Here is an 18,836-nt window from a genome sequence, read left to right as displayed (position 1 = left end):
GATGGAGTTTCACCATGTTGGTCAGGCTGGTCTCAAACTCCTGACCTCGTTACCCGCCCAACTCAGCCTCCCAAAGCATTGGGATTACAGGCATGAGCCACCTCGCTTGGCCATATTTTTAAAATTTATTTTTTTTTTGAGATGGAGTCTTGCTCTTGTTGCCCAGGCTGGAGTGCAGTGGTGTGATCTCGGCTCACCGCAACCTCCACCTCGTCTGTGTTCAAGTGATTCTCCTGCCTCAGCCTCTCGAGTAGCTGGGATTACAGGCATGCGCCACCATGCCCGGCTAATTTTGTATTTTTAGTAGAGATGGGGTTTCTCCATGTTGGTCAGGCTGGTCTCTAACTCCCAACCTCAGGCAATCCGCTTGCCTCAGCCTCCCAAAGTGCTGGGATTACAGGCGGGAGCCACTGTGCCTGGTCACATTCAGCTCTTAAATGTGACTTTGCCAGGCATTATTTGATTAGGAGCATTTGACTTCCCGAATCTTTCTTGCAGGCATCGTGACATTAGCTGGCATTATCTTAGCAAGGATAATGGTTTTTTTGTTTTTTGTTTTGTTTTGTTTTGTTTTGTTTTGTTTTGAGATGGAGTCTCACTCTGTAGCCCAGGCTGGAGTGCAGTGGCACGATCTTAGCTCACTGCAAGCTCCGCCTCCTGGGCTCAAGTGATTCTTCTGCCTTAGCCTCCCAAGTAGCTGGGATTACAGGCACGCGCCACCATGCCCAGCTAATTTTTGTATTTTTAGTAGAGACGGGGTTTCACCATGTTGGCTAGGCTGGTCTTGAACTCCTGACCTCATGATCTGCGCGCCTCGGCCTCCCAAAGTGCTGGGATTACAGGTGTGAGCCACCGCGCCCGGACTAGCAAGAATAATGTTAAGCCAACTCCAAACCTCTCTTAATAAAATTGGGCAATGGGGTGGGTTGTACCTGGGTGGGTCTGAGTTTCTGCTACAGTAGGCCCTCAATAAATGTTTGTTGGGCCCGGCGCCCTGGCTCAGGCCTGTAACCCAACACTTTGGGAGGCTGAGGCGGGTGGATCACCTGAGATCAGAAGTTTGAGACTAGCCTGGTCAACATGGTGAAACCCTGTCTCTACTGAAAATACAAAAGTTAGCTGGGCGTGGTGGCAGGCGCCAGTAGTCCCAGCTGCTTGGGAGCCTGAGGCAGAATCGCTTGGACCCGGGAGGCGGAGGTTGCAAGTGAGCGCCACTGCACTCCTGCCTGAGCGACAAGAGCGAAACTGTCTCAAAAAAAAAAAAAAAAAGCTTTTCGAATTCAATATAATGGGCTTTATGGGATGGGGTGACATGGATGATCTTTGAGTAGTGATTAGATTTTCACCTTGTATCAATACACTATATAATTCCTTAAAATAAATAAACGTACATACTTCAGAACAGGAACTTTATACTTCCTAAGGGAAATAATCTTGGATGGAGGTGATTTGCCACAGAGGAAATGCATAATTGGTACTCAAGTGGAAATGATTATTATTTGTGATGCAACGTCACATGCTACCTAGTTCAGTGCTCTGTGAATTAGGTGATGCAAACAGAATATTGTTGCTTGGAACGGTAGCAATTTTGCTGTTTTTAAAAGGCGGCGAAGAGAGCGTCCCCTTCCAAGGAGAAAATCTGGTGAGATTCCTTTAAAGTGCGGCCCGCGCGCCCCGCAGCCTGCCCCGGAGCTGCAGGGTTTGCGCCCCGCGGAGGTGAGGGCCGCTAAACCACATTTCCCGGCGAGCCCCTCAGGCTGCCGCGCCTGCGCAGTGGTGGCGTCCGAGGCCGGCCGAACTCCCGCGCTCTCCCGCCGCCTCGCCTCGCCTGGTGTCTCTCCCGACCATGGAGGGGGTCGCGGTGGTGACGGCGGGCAGCGTAGGCGCTGCCAAAACCGAGGGAGCTGCAGCCTTGCCGCCTCCGCCTCCTGTCTCCCCGCCCGCCCTCACCCCTGCACCCGCAGCGGGTGAGGAGGGACCGGCGCCTCTGTCTGAGACGGGGGCTCCCGGCTGCTCCGGCTCCCGGCCCCCTGAGCTGGAGCCGGAGCGCAGCCTGGGCCGCTTCAGAGGCCGCTTCGAGGACGAGGACGAGGAGTTGGAAGAAGAAGAGGAGCTGGAGGAGGAAGAAGAGGAGGAGGAGGAGGACATGAGTCACTTCTCGTTGAGGCTGGAGGGAGGCCGGCAGGACTCGGAGGACGAGGAGGAGGTATTTAGAGCCCCCGCGCGACCCCGCTGGGCCCAAGCGGCGTCAGGGACGTAGCTGGCCCTCGTCTGCCGGGCGCCGGCCCGATCCTAGTGCGCCGCCGCCGCGCGGAGCACTGGAGCGGACCTCCCCCGACCTCTGCCCCGGCTGCCTAGGCGTGTGGCGCCGACAGGCCTCCGGCCCGGCCTGGGTCTTTACCCGCTTATTTTGTGAAGTTCTTGCAGGTCACTTAGGCTCTGCGAGTCCAACTCATTCGTTCTGTTAATAATTATAATTATTTTGAGACAGGGTCTCCCAGGCTGGAGTGCAGTGGCGCGACCATGGCTCACTGCAGCCTCCAACTCCTGGCCTCAGGCGATCCTCCCGCCTCAGCCTCCGGAGTAGCTGGGACTACAGGCACGCGCCACCACGCCGGGCTAATTAAACATTTTTTTTTTTTTTTGTAGCGAGGAGGGCTCCCTATGTTCCCAGGCTGTTCTCGAACTCCTGGGTTCAAGAGATTCTCCCTCTCTGGCCTTCCGAAAGATTACATGCGTGAGCCACGTTGCCTGTCCTGTATAATTATTGAAGCTACTGCTTACTAGGCAGTAAAGATCCTTTTGTTTTGTTTTGTTTTGTTTTGTTTTTGAGACGGAGTCTCGCTCTGTCGCCCAGGCTGGAGTGCAGTGGCGCGATCTCGGCTCACTGCAACCTCCGCCTCCCAGGTTCAAGCGATTCTCCAGCCTCAGCCTTTAGAGTAGCTGGGACTACAAGGCGCCCGCCACCACGCCCGGCTTATTTTTTGTATTTTTAGTAGAGACGGGGTTTCACCGTGTTAGCCAGGATGGTCTCGATCTCCTGACCTCGTGATCCGCCCGCCTCGGCCTCCCAAAGTGCTGGGATTACAGGCGTGAGCCACTGCGCCCAGCGTAAAGATCCTTTTGAAACAATAATTTGGCTGGGCGCGGTGTGGCTCACGCCTATAATCCCCGCACTTTGGGAGGCCGAGGCAGGCGAAACACGAGGTCAGGAGTTCAGCCTGACCAAAGCGGTGAAACCCCTTCTCTACTGAAAATACAAAAAGTAGCGGGGCGTGGTGGCACGCGCCTGTAATCTCAGCTACTCAGGAGGCTGAGGTAGGAGAATCACTTGAATCTGGGAGGCGGAGGTTGCAGTGAGCCGAGATCTTGCCGCTGCACTCCAGTCTGGGCGACAGAGGCAGACTCCCTCTCAAAAAAAAAAAAAAAAAAACGGAAAGAAAGAAACAATAATTTATATTGTGTTATTATTGTAACTTTCAGTAGTCTTTTAATGGGTTGGAGGTGTATGTTTCCATGTTGCAATGACATTTTGAGATTATGGTTTAAGGTTTTGAAGAAGGTGGACTGAGCGCGGTGGCTCATGCTTGTAATCCTAGCACTTTGGGAGGCCTTGGCGGGTGGATCACCTGAGGCCAGGGGTTCGAGACCAGCCTGGCCAACATGGTGAAACCCCATCTCTACTAAAAATACAAAAATTAGCCAGGCGTGGTTGTGCGCGCCTGTAATCCCAGCTACTCGGGAGGCTGAGACAGGAGAATCGCTTTAATCCAGGAGGCGGAGGTTGCAGTGAACCGAGATGACATCACTGCACTCAGCTTGGGCTACAGAGTGAGACTCTGTCTCAAAAAAAAAAAAAGAATTTGTAAAAGGCAAGGACTTGTATTTTAAAACTGTTTCCGTTTATTTGCAGCGCCTGATTAATCTCTCTGAGCTGACCCCATACATCTTGTGTTCCATTTGCAAAGGTTACTTAATAGATGCAACTACCATCACAGAATGTCTTCATACCTGTAAGCATACCGATCACATTTCTGAATAATTTTTCAGTTTTTGAAATGTCTTGAAAGCATCCTGACTTCAACATTCTTTTTCAACAGTTTGTAAAAGCTGCATCGTAAGACATTTTTACTACAGCAACAGATGTCCAAAATGCAATATAGTAGTACATCAGACACAACCTCTTTATAACATAAGGTAAGAAGAATATATAAATTACAATTGTATTTTAAATATACTTTTTCTGAAAGCTTGAAGTTATATAGTTGGAATAAATTATTGACCTCTCAGGATGGGTTCAGTGGCTAATGCCATAATCCCAGCACTTTGGGAGGCCGAGGTGAGTGGATCACTTCAGATCAGGAGTTCAAGACCAACCTGGCCAACATGGTGAAACCCCATCTCCACTATTAGCCAGGAGTGGCGGCACATGCCTGTAATCCCAGCTACTTGGGAGGTTGAGGCAGGAGAATCGCTTGAACCTGGGAGGCAGAGGTTGCAGGAGCCAAGATCGTGCCACTGTATTCCAGCCTGGGCGACAGACTGATGAGAGTATCTCAAAAAAAAAAAAAACAAAAAAACTCTTGACCTCTCTCAAAATTAAAAGGGAACTACATATTCTTTTAAGAAATATGTATAGAGCACTTACTATGTACTAGGCACTGTAATATCTGCTGAGGACTTAAAAGAGGCACAGGCCTTTTTCCTGAGAATTTTAATCCCATCACTTACTCAGGTTAATGAGGCTAGTTTAGGCTTTTCATTTCCAGTATATAGGTATTCCAAATTCTGTTTTTTTAGAAGTAATACCTGAAACAACTGGCCTCTTTAGTAAAGCCCATTTGTCATTAGCTCATTGTGGCTTATTATTCAAATTTCCAGTTCATACTCAGTTTCTTAAGAGAGGGAAAAATACTAACAGTAGATTACTGTTATTCAACAAATACTATTGATTTTTACTACCTTCACACAGGAGTGCTTTGCAGATGATAGACAGAAGTTCAAAATACAGTCTCTGCCCTCAACTCGTATTCTTATGAAGGGAATAAAATCAAATTAACCAGGCGTGGTGTCACGCGCCTTTAGTCCCAGCTATTAAGGAGGCTGAGGTGGGAAAAATCCACCTAAGCCTAGGAAGTGGAGGCTGCAGTGAGCCATGATTGAGCCACTGCACTCCAGCCTGGGTGACAAAAGTGAGACCTTGTCACACACACACACAAAAAACAATGCACATGAAACAGTTTAGTGACCCATTCAAGAATCTGTGAATACTTATGATTACATATATTTACTTAAGGTTTTCTTGAGTGAGTTATATTTTAGGAACTGTAAATGCTACTTAAAAGTAACTCACCTCTGAGAAAAAAGATACCCACTCTCAAGAGAAAACACAATTAACTCACTCTGTACCAAAATGCATTTTTCTGAATTCTGAGGTATTCTCCATCCTTTCCTTTTATTAGGTTGGACCGACAGTTACAAGACATAGTGTACAAATTAGTGATCAATCTAGAGGAAAGTAAGTTTCTTTTATTACATGGTTGTGAATCCCAGAATCTCTGACTCTAGTAGTTACATTTTAAGTGTAATTTAGTCTGTGTTTTATCATTTTTTAGGAGAAAAAAAGCAAATGCATGATTTCTATAAAGAAAGAGGTCTAGAAGTACCTAAACCTGGTAAGTTTGGGTGTATACTATAATGTACTTACAGATTAAAGAATACTAACAATAAAATATATGCCCTTTGAAGTTCCTTTTGGGGGTAGCTTATTATATGATCAGAGAGATTTTGAAGGTAATGCTGTGTGTAATCCAATTTATTTATAAAAATTAGAGATTGCAGACTGTGGAGCTAGATTCTCTGAGTTTGTTCCTAGCCCTGCCACTTTATGAGGTGTATAACTTAAGCCAAGCCAGTTACATACGTAAATGTCTGTTTCCTCATCTACAAAATAATGATAATCATACCACTTCATTTAAAAAAATATATTGAGTAATATAAGCACTTAAAACAGTGCCTGGCACACAGTAACTGTTCAAACGTTAGTTTTTATGATGATGTAATGTCACGGAATGGACATGAAATAGATTTGGATTTAAATCCTGGTTCTTTTTATTTTGAGACGGAGTTTTGCTCTTGTTGCCAGGCTGGAGTGCAATGCTGTGATCTCAGCTCACCGCAACCTCCACCTTCTGGGTTTGAGCAATTCTCCTGCCTCAGCCTCCCAAGTAGCTGAGATTACAGGCACACGCCACCACACCTGGCTAATTTTGTATTTTTATTTATTTATTATGATTATTTTTTGAGATGTCACCAGGCTGGAGTGCAGTGGCATGATCTTGGCTCACTGCAACCTCCGCCTTCTGGGCTCAAGCGATTCTCCTGCCTCAGCCTCCTGAGTAGCTGGGGCTACAGGCGCCCGCCACTACGCCAAGCTAATTTTTGTATTTTTAGTAGAGACGGGGTTTCACCATGTTGGCCAGGATGGTCTCAATCTCTTGACCTCGTGATCTGCCCTCCTCGGCCTCCCAAAGTGCTGGGATTACAGGCTTGAGCCACTGTGCCTGGCCAATTTTGTATTTTTAATAGAGACGGGGTTTCTCCATGTTTGTCAGGCTGGTCTTGAACTCCTGACCTCAGGTGATCTTCCCACCTTGGCCTCCCAAAGTGCTAGGATTACAGGCGTGAGCCACCGCGCCTGGCTTTTTTTTTTTTTTAAATGAGATGGACTTGCTCTGTCGCACAGGCTGGAGTGCAGTGGCATGATCTTGGCTCACTGCAACCTCCGCCTCCAGGTTCAAGCAATTCTCCTGCCTTGGCCTCCTGAGTAGCTGGGATTACAGGCATGTGCCACCACACCCAGCTAATTTTTTTTGTATTTTTAGTAGAGATGGGGTTTCACCATGTTGGCCAGGCTGGTCCCGAACTCCTGACCTGAAGTGATCCACCCACCTCGGCCTCCCAAAGTGCTGGGATTACTGGCATGAGCCACCTTGCTTGGCCTAAATCCTGGTTCCTTGACTTAGCTGAGTGACTTTACACAAATTGCTTACTCTCTCTAAGCCTCAGTTTCTTTTTTTTTTTTGAGACAGAGTTTCTCTCTTGTCACCTAGGCTGGAGTGCAGTGGCATGATCTCGGCTCACTGCAACCTCCGCCTTCCAGTCTCAAGCGGTCCTCCTGTCTCAGCCTCCCAAATAGCTGGGATTACAGGCACATGCCACCATGCCTGGCTAATTTTTGTATTTTTAGTAGGGGCAGGGTTTTGCGATGTTGGCCAGGCTGGTCTCGAACTCCTGACCTCAGGTGATCCACCCACCTTGGCCTCCCAAAGGGTTGGAATTACAGGCATTAGCCATGGCGACTGGCGGTCTCAGTTTCTTTATTAGTTAAGAAAAAAAAAAAAAGCAGTAGCACTGGTACCTATATCATGGGACTATAGTAAGGACGAATGAGATGATGCATGAGAAGTGCTAAGTATGAGCCCTGACACATAGTAGTGCTTATGCAGGGTTGTCTACACATGTTGCTGTTCTAATGAGCTCTCTCTGCGTCCCTAATAAGCCAGCCACATGTCTGCCTTCCATTGTGGAGTGGTCCCCAGGCTTGCCTCTCATTTCACTGGCTTTGACAGATTAGCCAATGTCATTAAAGACAGGGAGATTGAGTGGTTTATGATCTTTTAAATACTCAACATAATTATAATACTTGTGTATTTTTCCAAAGATCTCAATTTATGGCATTTTTATTCTTAATTAACATTTTTGTTTGACTATTAAATAGCTGTTCCACAGCCAGTCCCTTCAAGCAAAGGAAGATCTAAAAAAGTCCTAGAATCAGTGTTTCGTATTCCACCTGAACTTGATATGTCTTTATTACTGGAGTTCATTGGGTGAGTACCCTAAAAATTTACCTTTTAACTTAAAGAATGTTAAAAGTCCTAATAGGAAATCATTGTGAACTCAGGTAAAATCAAGTTTTCTGACATCCCCTTGGAAAATTATGAAATAACTGAATATTAGAAATAATTAGAAAAAGGTATAAAGGGCCGGGTGCAGTGGCTCACGCCTGTAATCCCAACACTTTGGGAGGCCGAGGTGAGTGGATCACCTGAGGTCAGGAGTTCGAGACCAGCCTGGCTAACATGGCGAAACCCCGTCTCTACTAAAATTACAAAAAAAAAAAATTAGCTGGGCGTGGTGGCGGGTGCCTGTAATCCCAGCTACTTGGGAGGCTGAGGCAGGAGACTCTCTTGAACCTAGGAGGCAGAGGTTGCAGTGAGCCAAGATCGCGCCATTGCACTCCAGCCTAGGCGACAAGAGCAAAACTCCATCTCAAAAAAAAAAAAGGCTGGGCATGGTGGCTTACGCCTGTAATCCCAGCACTTTGGGAGGCTGAGGTGGGCGGATCACGAGGTCAGGATTTCAAGACCAGCCTGACCAACATGGTGAAACCCTGTCTACTAAAAATACAAAAATTATCCAGGCATGGTGGCAGGTGCCTGTAATCCCAGCTACTCGGGAGGCTGAGGCAGGAGAATCACTTGAAATCGGGCAGTGGAGGTTGAAGTGAACCGAGGTCGTGCCACCGCACTCCAGTCTGGGTGACAGAGTGAGACTCTGTCTCAAAAAAAAAAAAAAAAGTGTTTGTCATTCCCATGCCTTTTTTTTTCATGTGGTTGCCACGTGTATATCTATTCCTAAGCAATATGTAGCATTGTTTTTGCCAAACTTGAAATGGTATACTTTTCACTCAGTATTGTGTGATTCATCCCTGTTGAAATATATAGCCTAGTTCATTCATTTTCACCATTATTTGGCATTCCATTAAAATGAATATATTATTTCTTATCTTTTCCTGTTCTGTTGAATATTTAGGTTTGTTTCCAGGTTTGTTGGTTTATTTACTTGTTGCTGTTTTAAACAATGTTGCCGTAAACAAATTCATATGTATCTCCTGTGTATATGTGAGATAGATAGTTCTCCACGAGTGTAGATTTACTGAGTCTTAGGGTATGTTCCTCTTCAACTTTACCTGATTTTGCCAAATTAGTTAGATACCTTTCTTTTTTTTTTTTTTTTTTGAGACAGAGTTTTACTCTGTCGCCCAGGCTGGAGTGCAGTGGTGCAATCTCAGCTTATTGCAACTGCTGCCTCCCAGGTTCAGGGGATTCTCCTGCCTCAGCCTCCCAAGTAGCTGGGACTGCAGGCACATGCCACCACGCCTGGCTAATTTTTGTAGTTTTAGTAGAGACAGGGTTTTGCCATGTTGGCCAAGCTGGTCTCCTGACCTCAGGTGATCCACCCACCTCAGCCTCCCAAAGTGCTGGGATTACAGACGTGAGCCACCGTGCCCTGCTAGATACTTATAAATTGCTTCTTTCATACACTGTAGCATATGGTGTACTCCATTTTAGTGCAGCAATGTTAAACAGACTGTCATGGTCCCAGAGTTGGCATGTATCAAACTAGTTTTCAAACGCTTAACTGGCTGGCCCAGTAAACTAAAATGCCTTTCTTGGAAAAAATCTAGATTTCTCATGTTGTATCACTGATGACTATTTTACTTCTCAGTCATCTCTTTATAACTCTAGGCTACTTGTATCATTTATTATCTAGTGTGTGCTTTATTGTATTTATCTCCTTGTATATCCACTTCGTGCTCTCAACTGTTATTAAGAACCCCTAAGGCCGGGCGCGGTGGCTCACGCCTATAATCCCAGCACTTTGGGAGGCCGAGGCGGGCGGATCATGAGGTCAGAAGATCAAGACCATCCTGGCTAACACGGTGAAACCCCGTCTCTACTAAAAATACAAAAAATTAGCTGGTCGTGGTGGTAGGTGCCTATAGTCCCAGCTACTCGGGAGGCTGAGGCAGGAGAATGGCGTGAACCCAGGAGGCAGAGCTTGCAGTGAGCCGAGGTGGTGCCACTGCACTCCAGCCTGGGCGGCAGAGACTCCGTCTCAAAAAGAAAAGAACCCCTAAAAGGCAAGAGATTTGTTATGTCCCCAAGAAGCCCATAGTAGTGGTTGATGATAATGACATAAAGATCCCTTTGGAAAAATTAGAAGAAATCATGTAATTCCAAATTTTAATCCAGCAATTTCTATTATTAAAGAGTGTTGCAATTTATATCTCTATAAGGGAGTAGGTTAAATAATGGTATACCCATACATGAGTATGCACTAATATAATAATGTGTGTGATGATGTGGAATAGTCTCCAAGATGTATTAAGTGGGAAAAGCAAGGTGCAGAAAGGCAAGCCCATGTACCTTGTGCTCACTTAAGTTTTTTAAAAAGAGGATGGTGGAAAATACGCAAGTACACGTATACTTTTTATGTGTACAGGCCATTCCTGAAAGGCCATATAAGAAAATCTTGGCCAGGCATGGTGGCTCACACCTGTAATCCCAGCACTTTGGGAGGCCGAGGCGGGCAGATTACCCGAGGTCAGGAGTTCAAGATCACCCTGACCAACATGATGAAACCCTGTCTCTACTAAAAATATAAAAATGAGCCAGGTGTTGTGGCAGGTGCCTGTAGTCCCAGCTACCCAGGAGGCTGAGGCGGGAGAATTACTTGAACCTGGGAGGTGGAGGTTGCAGTAACCCAAGATTATGCTGTTGCACTCCAGCCTGGGCAATGAGAGCGAAACTCTGTCTGAAGGAAAAAAAAAAAAAGTCCGGGTGCAGTGGCTCACTCTTAATCCCAGCACTTGAGGAGGCCGAGGTGGGCGGATCACTTGAGATTAGGAGTTTGAGACCAGCCTGGCCAACATGGTGAAACACTGTCTCTATCAAAAGTATAAAAAATTAGCTAGGTGTGGTGGCACGTGCCTGTGATTCCAGCTACTTGGGAGGCTGAGACAGGAGAATCGCTTGAATTGGGAGGTGGACGTTGCAGTGAGCTGAGATTGTGCCACTGCACTCCAGCCTGGGTGACAGAGAAAGACTGCTGAGAAAAAAAAAAGAACATATTAATGGCAGTGCCCCTAGGAAGCGGCACTGGAGTCTATTGAGTCTGGGATGGGAACAAGTCTTACTTGCCATTGTGTTTGAATTTTTACACATGTGACAATGTGACTTTTGTTTTGTTTTCATACTAATCAAAAGAAGGCTGGAGTAATATCTTTTAATGACTAGCTAATTACAATTTGAAAATTAAAGAGTTGGCCGGGCGCAGTGGCTCTCGCCTGTAATCCCAGCATTCTGGGAGGCTTAGGTGGGCAGATTACTTGACATCAAGAGTTCGAGACCAGCCTGGCCAATATGGTGAAACCCGTCTTTACTAAAAATACAAAAAAAAAAAAAGCTGGATGTGGTGGCTTGCACCTGTAATCCCAGCTATTCAGGAGGCTGAGGGAGGAGAATCACTTGAATCCGAGAGGCGGAGGTTGCAGTGAGCCGAGATCACACCAGTGCACTCCAGCCTGGGCAACAAGGGCCAAACTCCGTCTCGAAAAATACAAAAACAAACAAAAAATACAAAAATTAGCCAGGCATGGTGGTGCGCGCCTTTAGTCCTACCTACTTGGGAGACCGAGGCAGGAGAATCACTTGAACCCGGGAGGCGGAGGTTGTGGTGAGCCGAGATAGTGCCATTGCACTCCAGCCTGGGTGACAGGAGTGAAACTCCGTCTCAAAAAAAATAAAAAAGAAAATTAAAAGGATTTTTTTTTGTTTTTGAGACGGAGTTTCACTCTTGTTGCTCATGCTGGAGTGCAATGGCGCAATCTCGGCTCACCGCAACCTCCACCTCCCGGGTTCAAGCGATTCTCCTGCCTCAGCCTCCCAAATAGTTGGGGTTACAGGTGCCAGCCACCATGCCTGGCTAATTTTCTATTTTTAGTAGAGACAGGGTTTCGCCATGTCAGTCAGGCTGGTCTCAATCTCCCGACCTCAGGTGATCCGCCCACCTTGGACCCCCAAAGTGTTGGGATTACAGGCGTGAGCCACCGCGCCTGTAAGGAATTATATTTTTAAAAAATTAAATTTTAAAAAATTATTTTGAGGGTCAGGCATGGTGGCTTATGCCTGTAATCCTAGCACTTTGGAAAGCAGAGGTAGGAGAACCGCTGGAGTCCAGGAGCTGGACACTAGCCTGGTCAACATGGTAAAACCCTGTCTCTACAAAAAAATACGAAAAGAAAATTAATTGGCCATGGTGGCATGCACCTGTAGTCCCATCTACTAGGGAGGCTGATGGGGGAGGATCGACTGAGCCCGGGAGTTTGAGGCTGCAGTGAGGTTTGATTGCACCACTGCATTCCAACCTGGGTGACAGAGCAAGACCCTGTCTCAAAAAAAAAAAAAATTATTTTGGGGAAATGTAACACTTTCCACTAATCACAGCAGGAACTTGGATCCACTTTTTATACCTTTTTTGAAAAGTCAGATATTGTAATACAACGATGGTAAACGTGTGATGGGTGTGCCACCATTTCTTCTTTCTTTACTTGTAGCAGAAATCAATAATTAATCATAGCAGGCTTTCCTGATGAGACTTGACCACACTGCTCAAGGCAGTCATTACCATTACTAAAGTTGTTACATTATTAATGCATTTCCTGCTGTAGAGGAAAAAGCCCTACCTTGGAATAGGAGATCTGGATTTAAGTCGTAGCTCTGCTGTTTTCTAGCTTTGTAACCTTGAATAAATTGCTTTTGTTTATTCATAAGGTATGTATATAAAATATATATATATATATATATATATTTTTTTTTTTTTTTTTTTCCCTGAGACAGAGTCTTACTTTGTCACCCAGGTTGGAATGCAGAGGCACAATCTCGGCTCACTGCAGCCTCTGCCTCCTGGGTTCAAGCAGTTCTCCTACCTCAGCCTCTGAAGTAGCTGGGATTACAGGCGCATACCACCATGCCTGAATTTTTTTTTTTTTTTTTTTTTTTGTATTTTTAGTAGAGGCGGGGTTTCACCTTGTTAACCAGGCTGGTCTCGAACTCTTGACCTCATGATCCACCTGCCTAAGCCTCCCAGAGTGCTCGGATTACAGGCATGAGCCACTGCACCTGGCCTCATAAGATGCTTTTGTGTGTGTGTGTGTGTGTGTGTGTGTGTGTGTGTGTGTGTGTGTGTGTGTGTGTGTTTTTTTTTTGAGACAGACAGAATTTCGCTTTTGTTCCCCAGGCTGGAGGGCAGTGGCGCGATCTTGGCTTACTGCAACCTCAGTCCTCAGTCTTCCGGTTTCAAGCAATTCTGCCACCTCAGCCTCCAGAGTAGCGGGGATTACAAGTGCCCTCCTCCACACCCAGCTAATTTTTGTATTTTTTAGTAGAGATGGGGTTTCACCATGTTGGCCAGGCTGGTCTCGAACTCCTGACCTCGTGATCCACCTGCCTTGGCCTCCCAAAGTGCTGGGATTACAGGCGTGAGCCACTGCACCTGGACTCATAAGGTATATATTAAGGTCCTCCTGTGTAAATAAAAATTGAACCTTAGAAATTGTTGGTTATGATGGGTATTCAGTGTACCTCCTAAGACAGTCCTTTATCTGTTTTTTCCTCCTTGAGACAGGGTCTTGCTCTGCTGCCCAGGCTGGACTGCAGTGGCGCGATCTCAGGTTACTGCAGCCTCTGCCTCCTATACTCAAGCAATCCTCTCGCCTCAGCCTCCTGAGCAGCTGGGACTATAGGCACACACCATCATGCCCAGCTAATTTTTTACCATATTGCCCAAGCTGGTCTTGAACTCCTGGCTCAAGCAATCTACCCGCCTTGGCCTCCCAAAATGATGGGATTACAGGCGTGAGCCACTGCACCTCACCCTTTTTATTACATAGAAAAGCATTTATGTTACCGCAAAAGTTAGGCTATTGGGGGTAACCTGTAGGAAACTGTTTTCATGACAGGACAAGGGGAGTTTTAGTCTGATGGAAGCACAGGGGCAAATTTGGTTCAGTGCTTGACTCTGCTTGACTTGGAGGAGGAAAAACACTGAGGTGGGTTCAGCCTCTGCACTAATTTCTCTGTTACTGGAATATGAAATTAGATTTCTCCCCTAAATTGGGTATGCATTTTTTTTTTCTTTTGAGACGGAGTTTCACTCTTCTTGTCCAGGCTGGAGTGTAGTGGTGTGATCTCGGCTCACTGCTACCTCTGCCTCTAGGGTTCAAGCGATTCTCCTGCCTTAGCCTCCCAAGTAGCTGGGATTACAGGCGTGTGCCACCATGCCCGGTTAAGTTTTTGTATTTTTAGTAGAGATGGGGTTTCATCATGTTGGCCAGGCTGGTCTCGAACTCCTGACCTCAGGTGATTCACCCACCTCAGCCTCCCAAAGTATTGGGATTACAGGCGTGAGCCACTGCACCCAACAGGGTATGTGTGTTTTATGGTCTTCTTTTTTTTTTTTTTTTGAGATGGAGTCTCGCTCTGTTTCCCAGGCTGGAGTGCAGTGGCGCGATCTCAGCTCACTGCAAGCTCCGCCTCCCGGGTTCATGCCATTCTCCTGCCTCAGCCTCCCAGGTAGATGGGACTACAGGTGCCTGCCACCACGCCCGGCTAATTTTTTTTTGTTTTTTTGTAGAGACAGGGTTTCACCATGTTAGCCAGGATGGTCTCGATCTCCTGACCTCGTGGTCTGCCTGCCTTGGCCTCCTAAAGTGCTGGGATTAGAGGCATGAGCCACTGCACCTGACCGGTTTTTTTGTTTGTTTGTTTGAGACAGGGTTTTCTCTTGTTGTCAAGGCTGGAGTGCAGTGGCATGATCTCGACTCACTGCAACCTCTGCCTCCTAGGTTCAAGCAGTTCTCCTGTCTCAGCCTCCCGGGTAACTGGGATTACAGACATGCACCACCATGCTCAGCTAATTTTGTATTTTTTTTTTTTTTTTTTTTTGAGACGGAGTCTCGCTCTGTCACCCAGGCTGGAGTGCAGTGGCGGGATCTCGGCTCACTGCAAGCTCCGCCTCCCGGGTTCACGCCATTCTCCTGCCTCAGCCTCCCAAGTAGCTGGGACTACAGGCGCCCACCACTACGCCCGGCTAATTTTTTGTATTTTTAGTAGAGACGGGGTTTCGCCGTTTTAGCCGGGATGGTCTCGATCTCCTGACCTCGTGATCCGCCCGCCTCGGCCTCCCAAAGTGCTGGGATTACAGGCGTGAGCCACCGCGCCCGGCCGCTAATTTTGTATTTTTAGTAGACACAGGGTTTCTCCTTGTTGGTCAGGCTGGTCTTGAACTCCTGACCTCAGGTTATCCACCCACCTCGACCTCCCAAAGTGCTGGGATTACAGGCGTGAGCCACCGTGCCCAGCTTTATGATCTTAAGATAGACTCTTATCCTTTTTGTTCTATAGTTTCTATGTGTAAAGTAGATTATAAAAAGAAATAACCCAAGACAGACAGTATGGTATGTTGAAAGAGTATAGGTTTTGAAGACTAACTCAGAGTAGGTAACCCTTGGGATGTAACTTCTCTGAACTGATCATCAGTTTCTGTATTTCTAAACTGGAGGTTACAATAGCAACTCAAAGGATTGTTGTAAGAATCAACATGTGATATTCTTAAGTCTGAATTATTATCAATATGAGTATTGAAATAATGCAGGGCCGTTCAAAAATAAAGGTTAAAGTGGTCCATGGTGCTATAATACATACACCTGCATACCAAAGAAAATAGAGTCTTAGGAGATGTGTGATACAGCAAAAATTTAATGCCATTTTAAGCTCAGTGGTGTTTAGTAAACCCGAGAGTAGTATCCCACTCTGTGCTGCCTTAGTCCAACAAGAGTATTGTGTTCAGCTCTGGGTACCATATTTTAAGAGAGATATTGGTAAACAGGTATAACTGGAATGGTAAAAGTTTGAAAATACGTCATGTGGTAGCAGAAGGAACAAAAATATTTTGTTTGGAAATAAAGCAATGGTAAGTCCCTCAAATTAGTTTAAAATCTTTAAAGGGTTACCAAATAAAAGAAAAATTGGTCTGATTCACAATACCAGAAGGCAAAACTATGACTTCTAGGTATATGTTACAGGGTGAAGCGTGTTTGATTAAGTGGAAGCAAGTAATTTTTTTTGCTTTTTTGAGATGGAGTCTGGCTCTGTCACCCAGGCTGGAGTGCAGTGGCACGACCTCGGCTCACTGCAACCTCCGCCTCCCGGGTTCAAGTGATTCTCCTGCCTCAGCCTCTCGAGTAGCTAGGATTACAGGCATGTGCCAACACACCTGGCTAATTTTTGTATTTTTATTGGAGACATAAGTTTACCATGTTGGCCAGGCAAGTCTCAAACTCCTGACCTCAAGCGATCCACCTACCTCAGCCTCCCAGAGTGCTGAAATTACAGGTGTGACCTACTGCACCTGGCCGCAAGCAAGCAATTTCTAACAAAGTCACCCACAAATGAAACTGCTGACTTGTCAGTTAAGCTGTCTTTAGATATTCAGGTAGAAGCTGATGCCCATGTACCAAGTATTCTACAGAGATAATTCTTACAATGAATGGGATGTTTTATTTTATAACTCTAAGATAATATAATTTAACATTCTATTTATGTGTATATTTTATATTTATTTGTACATTTACGGATTTACAGTTTACATTTATATATTGATATAATTTCATATAAAATAATATATCATTTATAGGTTTATAATATATAAATATTTCTGTATCTCTATTACTTTTTTCTTTTTATTTATTTATTTTTTTTTAAATTTTTTTTTTGGAGACGCAGTCTCACTCTGTTGCCCAGGCTGGAGTGCAGTGGCATGATCTTGACTCCCTGCAACCTTTGCCTCCCGATTTCAAGCGATTCTCCTGCCTCAGCCTCCCGAGTAGCTGGGACTACAGGTGCACGCCACCACACCTTGCTAATTTGTTGCCCAGGCTGGTCTCGAGCTCCTGAGCTCAGGCAATCCACCCACCTTGCCTCCCAAAGTGCTAGGATTACAGGCGTGAGCCACCGCGCCTGGCCTCTTTTCCTTTATTTTTTTGAGATGGAGTCTCGCACTGTCACCGGGCTGGAGTGTAGTGACACGATCTCAGCTCACTGCAACCTCCGCCTCCCGGGTTCAAGCAGTTCTCCTGCCTCAGCCTCCCGAGTAGCTGGGATTACAGGCATGCGCCACCACACCCAGCTAATTTTTTGTATTTTTAGGAGAGACGGGGTTTCATTATGTTGGCCCGGCTGCTCTTGAACTCCTGACCTCATTATCTGCCCACCTTGGCCTCCCAAAGTGCTGGGATTACAGGCATCAGCCACCTCGCCCAGCCTATTTTTTTCTTACAAAGAGTACTTTGCTGGGCACCGTGGCTCACTCCTGTAATCCTAGCACTTTGGGAGGCCAAGGTGGGCAGATCACGAGATCAAGAGATCGAGGCCATCCTGAACAACATGGTGAAACCCCGTCTATACTAAAAATACAAAAATTAGCCGGGTGTGGTGGTGGGTGCCTGTAGTCCCACCTATTCGGGAGGCTGAGGCAAAGAGAATCGCTTGAACCCGGGAGGCAGAGGTTGCAGTGAGCCGAGATCACGCCACTGCACTCCTGCCTGGGTGACAGTGAGACTCTGTCTCAAAAAAAAAAAAAAATGAGTGCTTTGGAGTCTGGGTGTGGTGGCTCACACCTGTAATTCCAGCATTTGGGGAGGCTAAGGCAGAAGGATGGCTTGAGGCCAGGAGTTTGAGACCAGCCTGGCCAACACAGCGAGACCCTATCTCTTAAAATTTTTTTTTTTTTTTAATTAGCCATGCATGGTGGCACATATCTGTACTCCCAGCTGCTCAGGTAGGCTAAGGCAAGAAGTTCACTTAAGCCCAGAAGGTTGAAGCTGCAGTGAGCCACTACACTCCTGCCTGGGTGATAGAGCAAGACCCTATCTCTTAAAGAAAAAAATGAAAGAAAAAAAGAATACTTTGGAGATGATGGAATTGTGAACTTGTCTAATCTTCACAACATAAGGAAGAAAGAACATTGGCTTTGATGTTAGGCACACCTGAGTGTGAATTTCAGTTTTATTACCTACCATATTTGTGTGTCCCAAAGAAAGTTATGACCTCTGTGAGCTTAATTTTTTTTCATCTGTAGAAAGGGGTACTAATACCTCATTTGCAGGGCTATTGTGAGGACTAAATGAAAAGCATGCATATGCACATGAATACCTAATTCAATGCCTGGCACATAGTACTTTCTCAACAAAAAGTTAGATACCCTTGTCTCCCTCATGGCTTAAAAGTAATTGATTTAACCAAGAAATCTGTAGGCTTCTAGGTGAAAAGGAAACTGAGTAAAATTATGTCCAGGTAATTATTCTGCAAAAAAAGCAATAGGAAGCATAGCAGCCTTCTTGTAAGAAATTTTATATTGTAAATGTTACTATAGAGAGGAAAATCACATTGATTATGATTAAAAGAAAAATATGAAATTAGACTAAGCTGTAAAATGTTAGGATGCTAAATGTGGGGTGAGGGGGAATCTAATATTTAAGAATATACTTTTTCCTGGAGATCTATTGTACATCATGATGACTACAGTTAATAATGTATTATATACTTGAAAATTGCTAAAAGTAGATCCTAAATGTTCTCACTACAGTAAAATAAGTATGTGAGCTGATGGATATGTTGATTTGCTTGATTTTATTAGTTTACAGTATATACGTATCAAAACCTATAGATATACACAATTTTAATTTGTCTATTATCCCCTAATAAAGCTGGAAAAAATAAGTAAATTCTCATATTTTCCATCAAAAAAAGAGAATATACTTTTAACTTCTAAAATTAAGTATAGAAAGTAGACTAAAATACTGGATAAAACTGCCTTTGCCTTAACCACTAGGTGGCAGAAATGACAATTACATTTGTTTATTTCATAAAACT

At 45.4% G+C, this 18,836-nt stretch overlaps 1 protein-coding gene across 5 annotated transcripts in view, besides 2 other annotated features; it reads left to right on the top strand.

Annotated features, from left to right (window-relative positions):
• Positions 1,645–1,874: a silencer, noted in NCBI's record as "silent region_2778". NCBI's record gives its function as "represses an Ori minimal core promoter by ATAC-STARR-seq in GM12878 lymphoblastoid cells {active_cell/tissue: GM12878}" and the evidence as "EXISTENCE:reporter gene assay evidence [ECO:0000049][PMID:35858748]".
• The window catches only part of PCGF6 (polycomb group ring finger 6), a 48,345-nt gene continuing 31,281 nt past the window's right edge, over positions 1,773–18,836 (top strand). For 2 of the 5 annotated variants that reach the window (NM_001011663.2, XM_047425832.1), the window contains exons 1-6: positions 1,773–2,206; positions 3,914–4,013; positions 4,101–4,197; positions 5,463–5,518; positions 5,616–5,675; positions 7,781–7,889. In NM_001011663.2, the coding sequence (NP_001011663.1) occupies positions 1,847–2,206; positions 3,914–4,013; positions 4,101–4,197; positions 5,463–5,518; positions 5,616–5,675; positions 7,781–7,889 (782 nt within the window). In that variant the 5' untranslated portion in view covers positions 1,773–1,846. Of the gene's footprint in view, positions 2,207–3,913; positions 4,014–4,100; positions 4,198–5,462; positions 5,519–5,593; positions 5,676–7,780; positions 7,890–18,836 lie in introns of those variants that run through there. The other 3 variants (XM_047425833.1, XM_047425834.1, NM_032154.4) reach the window with 3 other exon arrangements.
• Positions 2,040–2,545: an enhancer, noted in NCBI's record as "H3K27ac-H3K4me1 hESC enhancer chr10:105110125-105110630 (GRCh37/hg19 assembly coordinates)". NCBI's record gives its function as "activates a minimal SCP1, AML or CMV promoter by ChIP-STARR-seq in naive H9 embryonic stem cells {active_cell/tissue: H9 hESC(naive)}" and the evidence as "EXISTENCE:reporter gene assay evidence [ECO:0000049][PMID:30033119]".

The sequence above is a fragment of the Homo sapiens genome, chromosome 10 (assembly GCF_000001405.40).
Source record: "Homo sapiens chromosome 10, GRCh38.p14 Primary Assembly".
Taxonomy (NCBI): Eukaryota; Metazoa; Chordata; class Mammalia; order Primates; family Hominidae; genus Homo; species Homo sapiens.
Note: the sequence above shows the minus strand (reverse complement) of the source record. Positions and strands in the feature narration are given on the sequence as shown.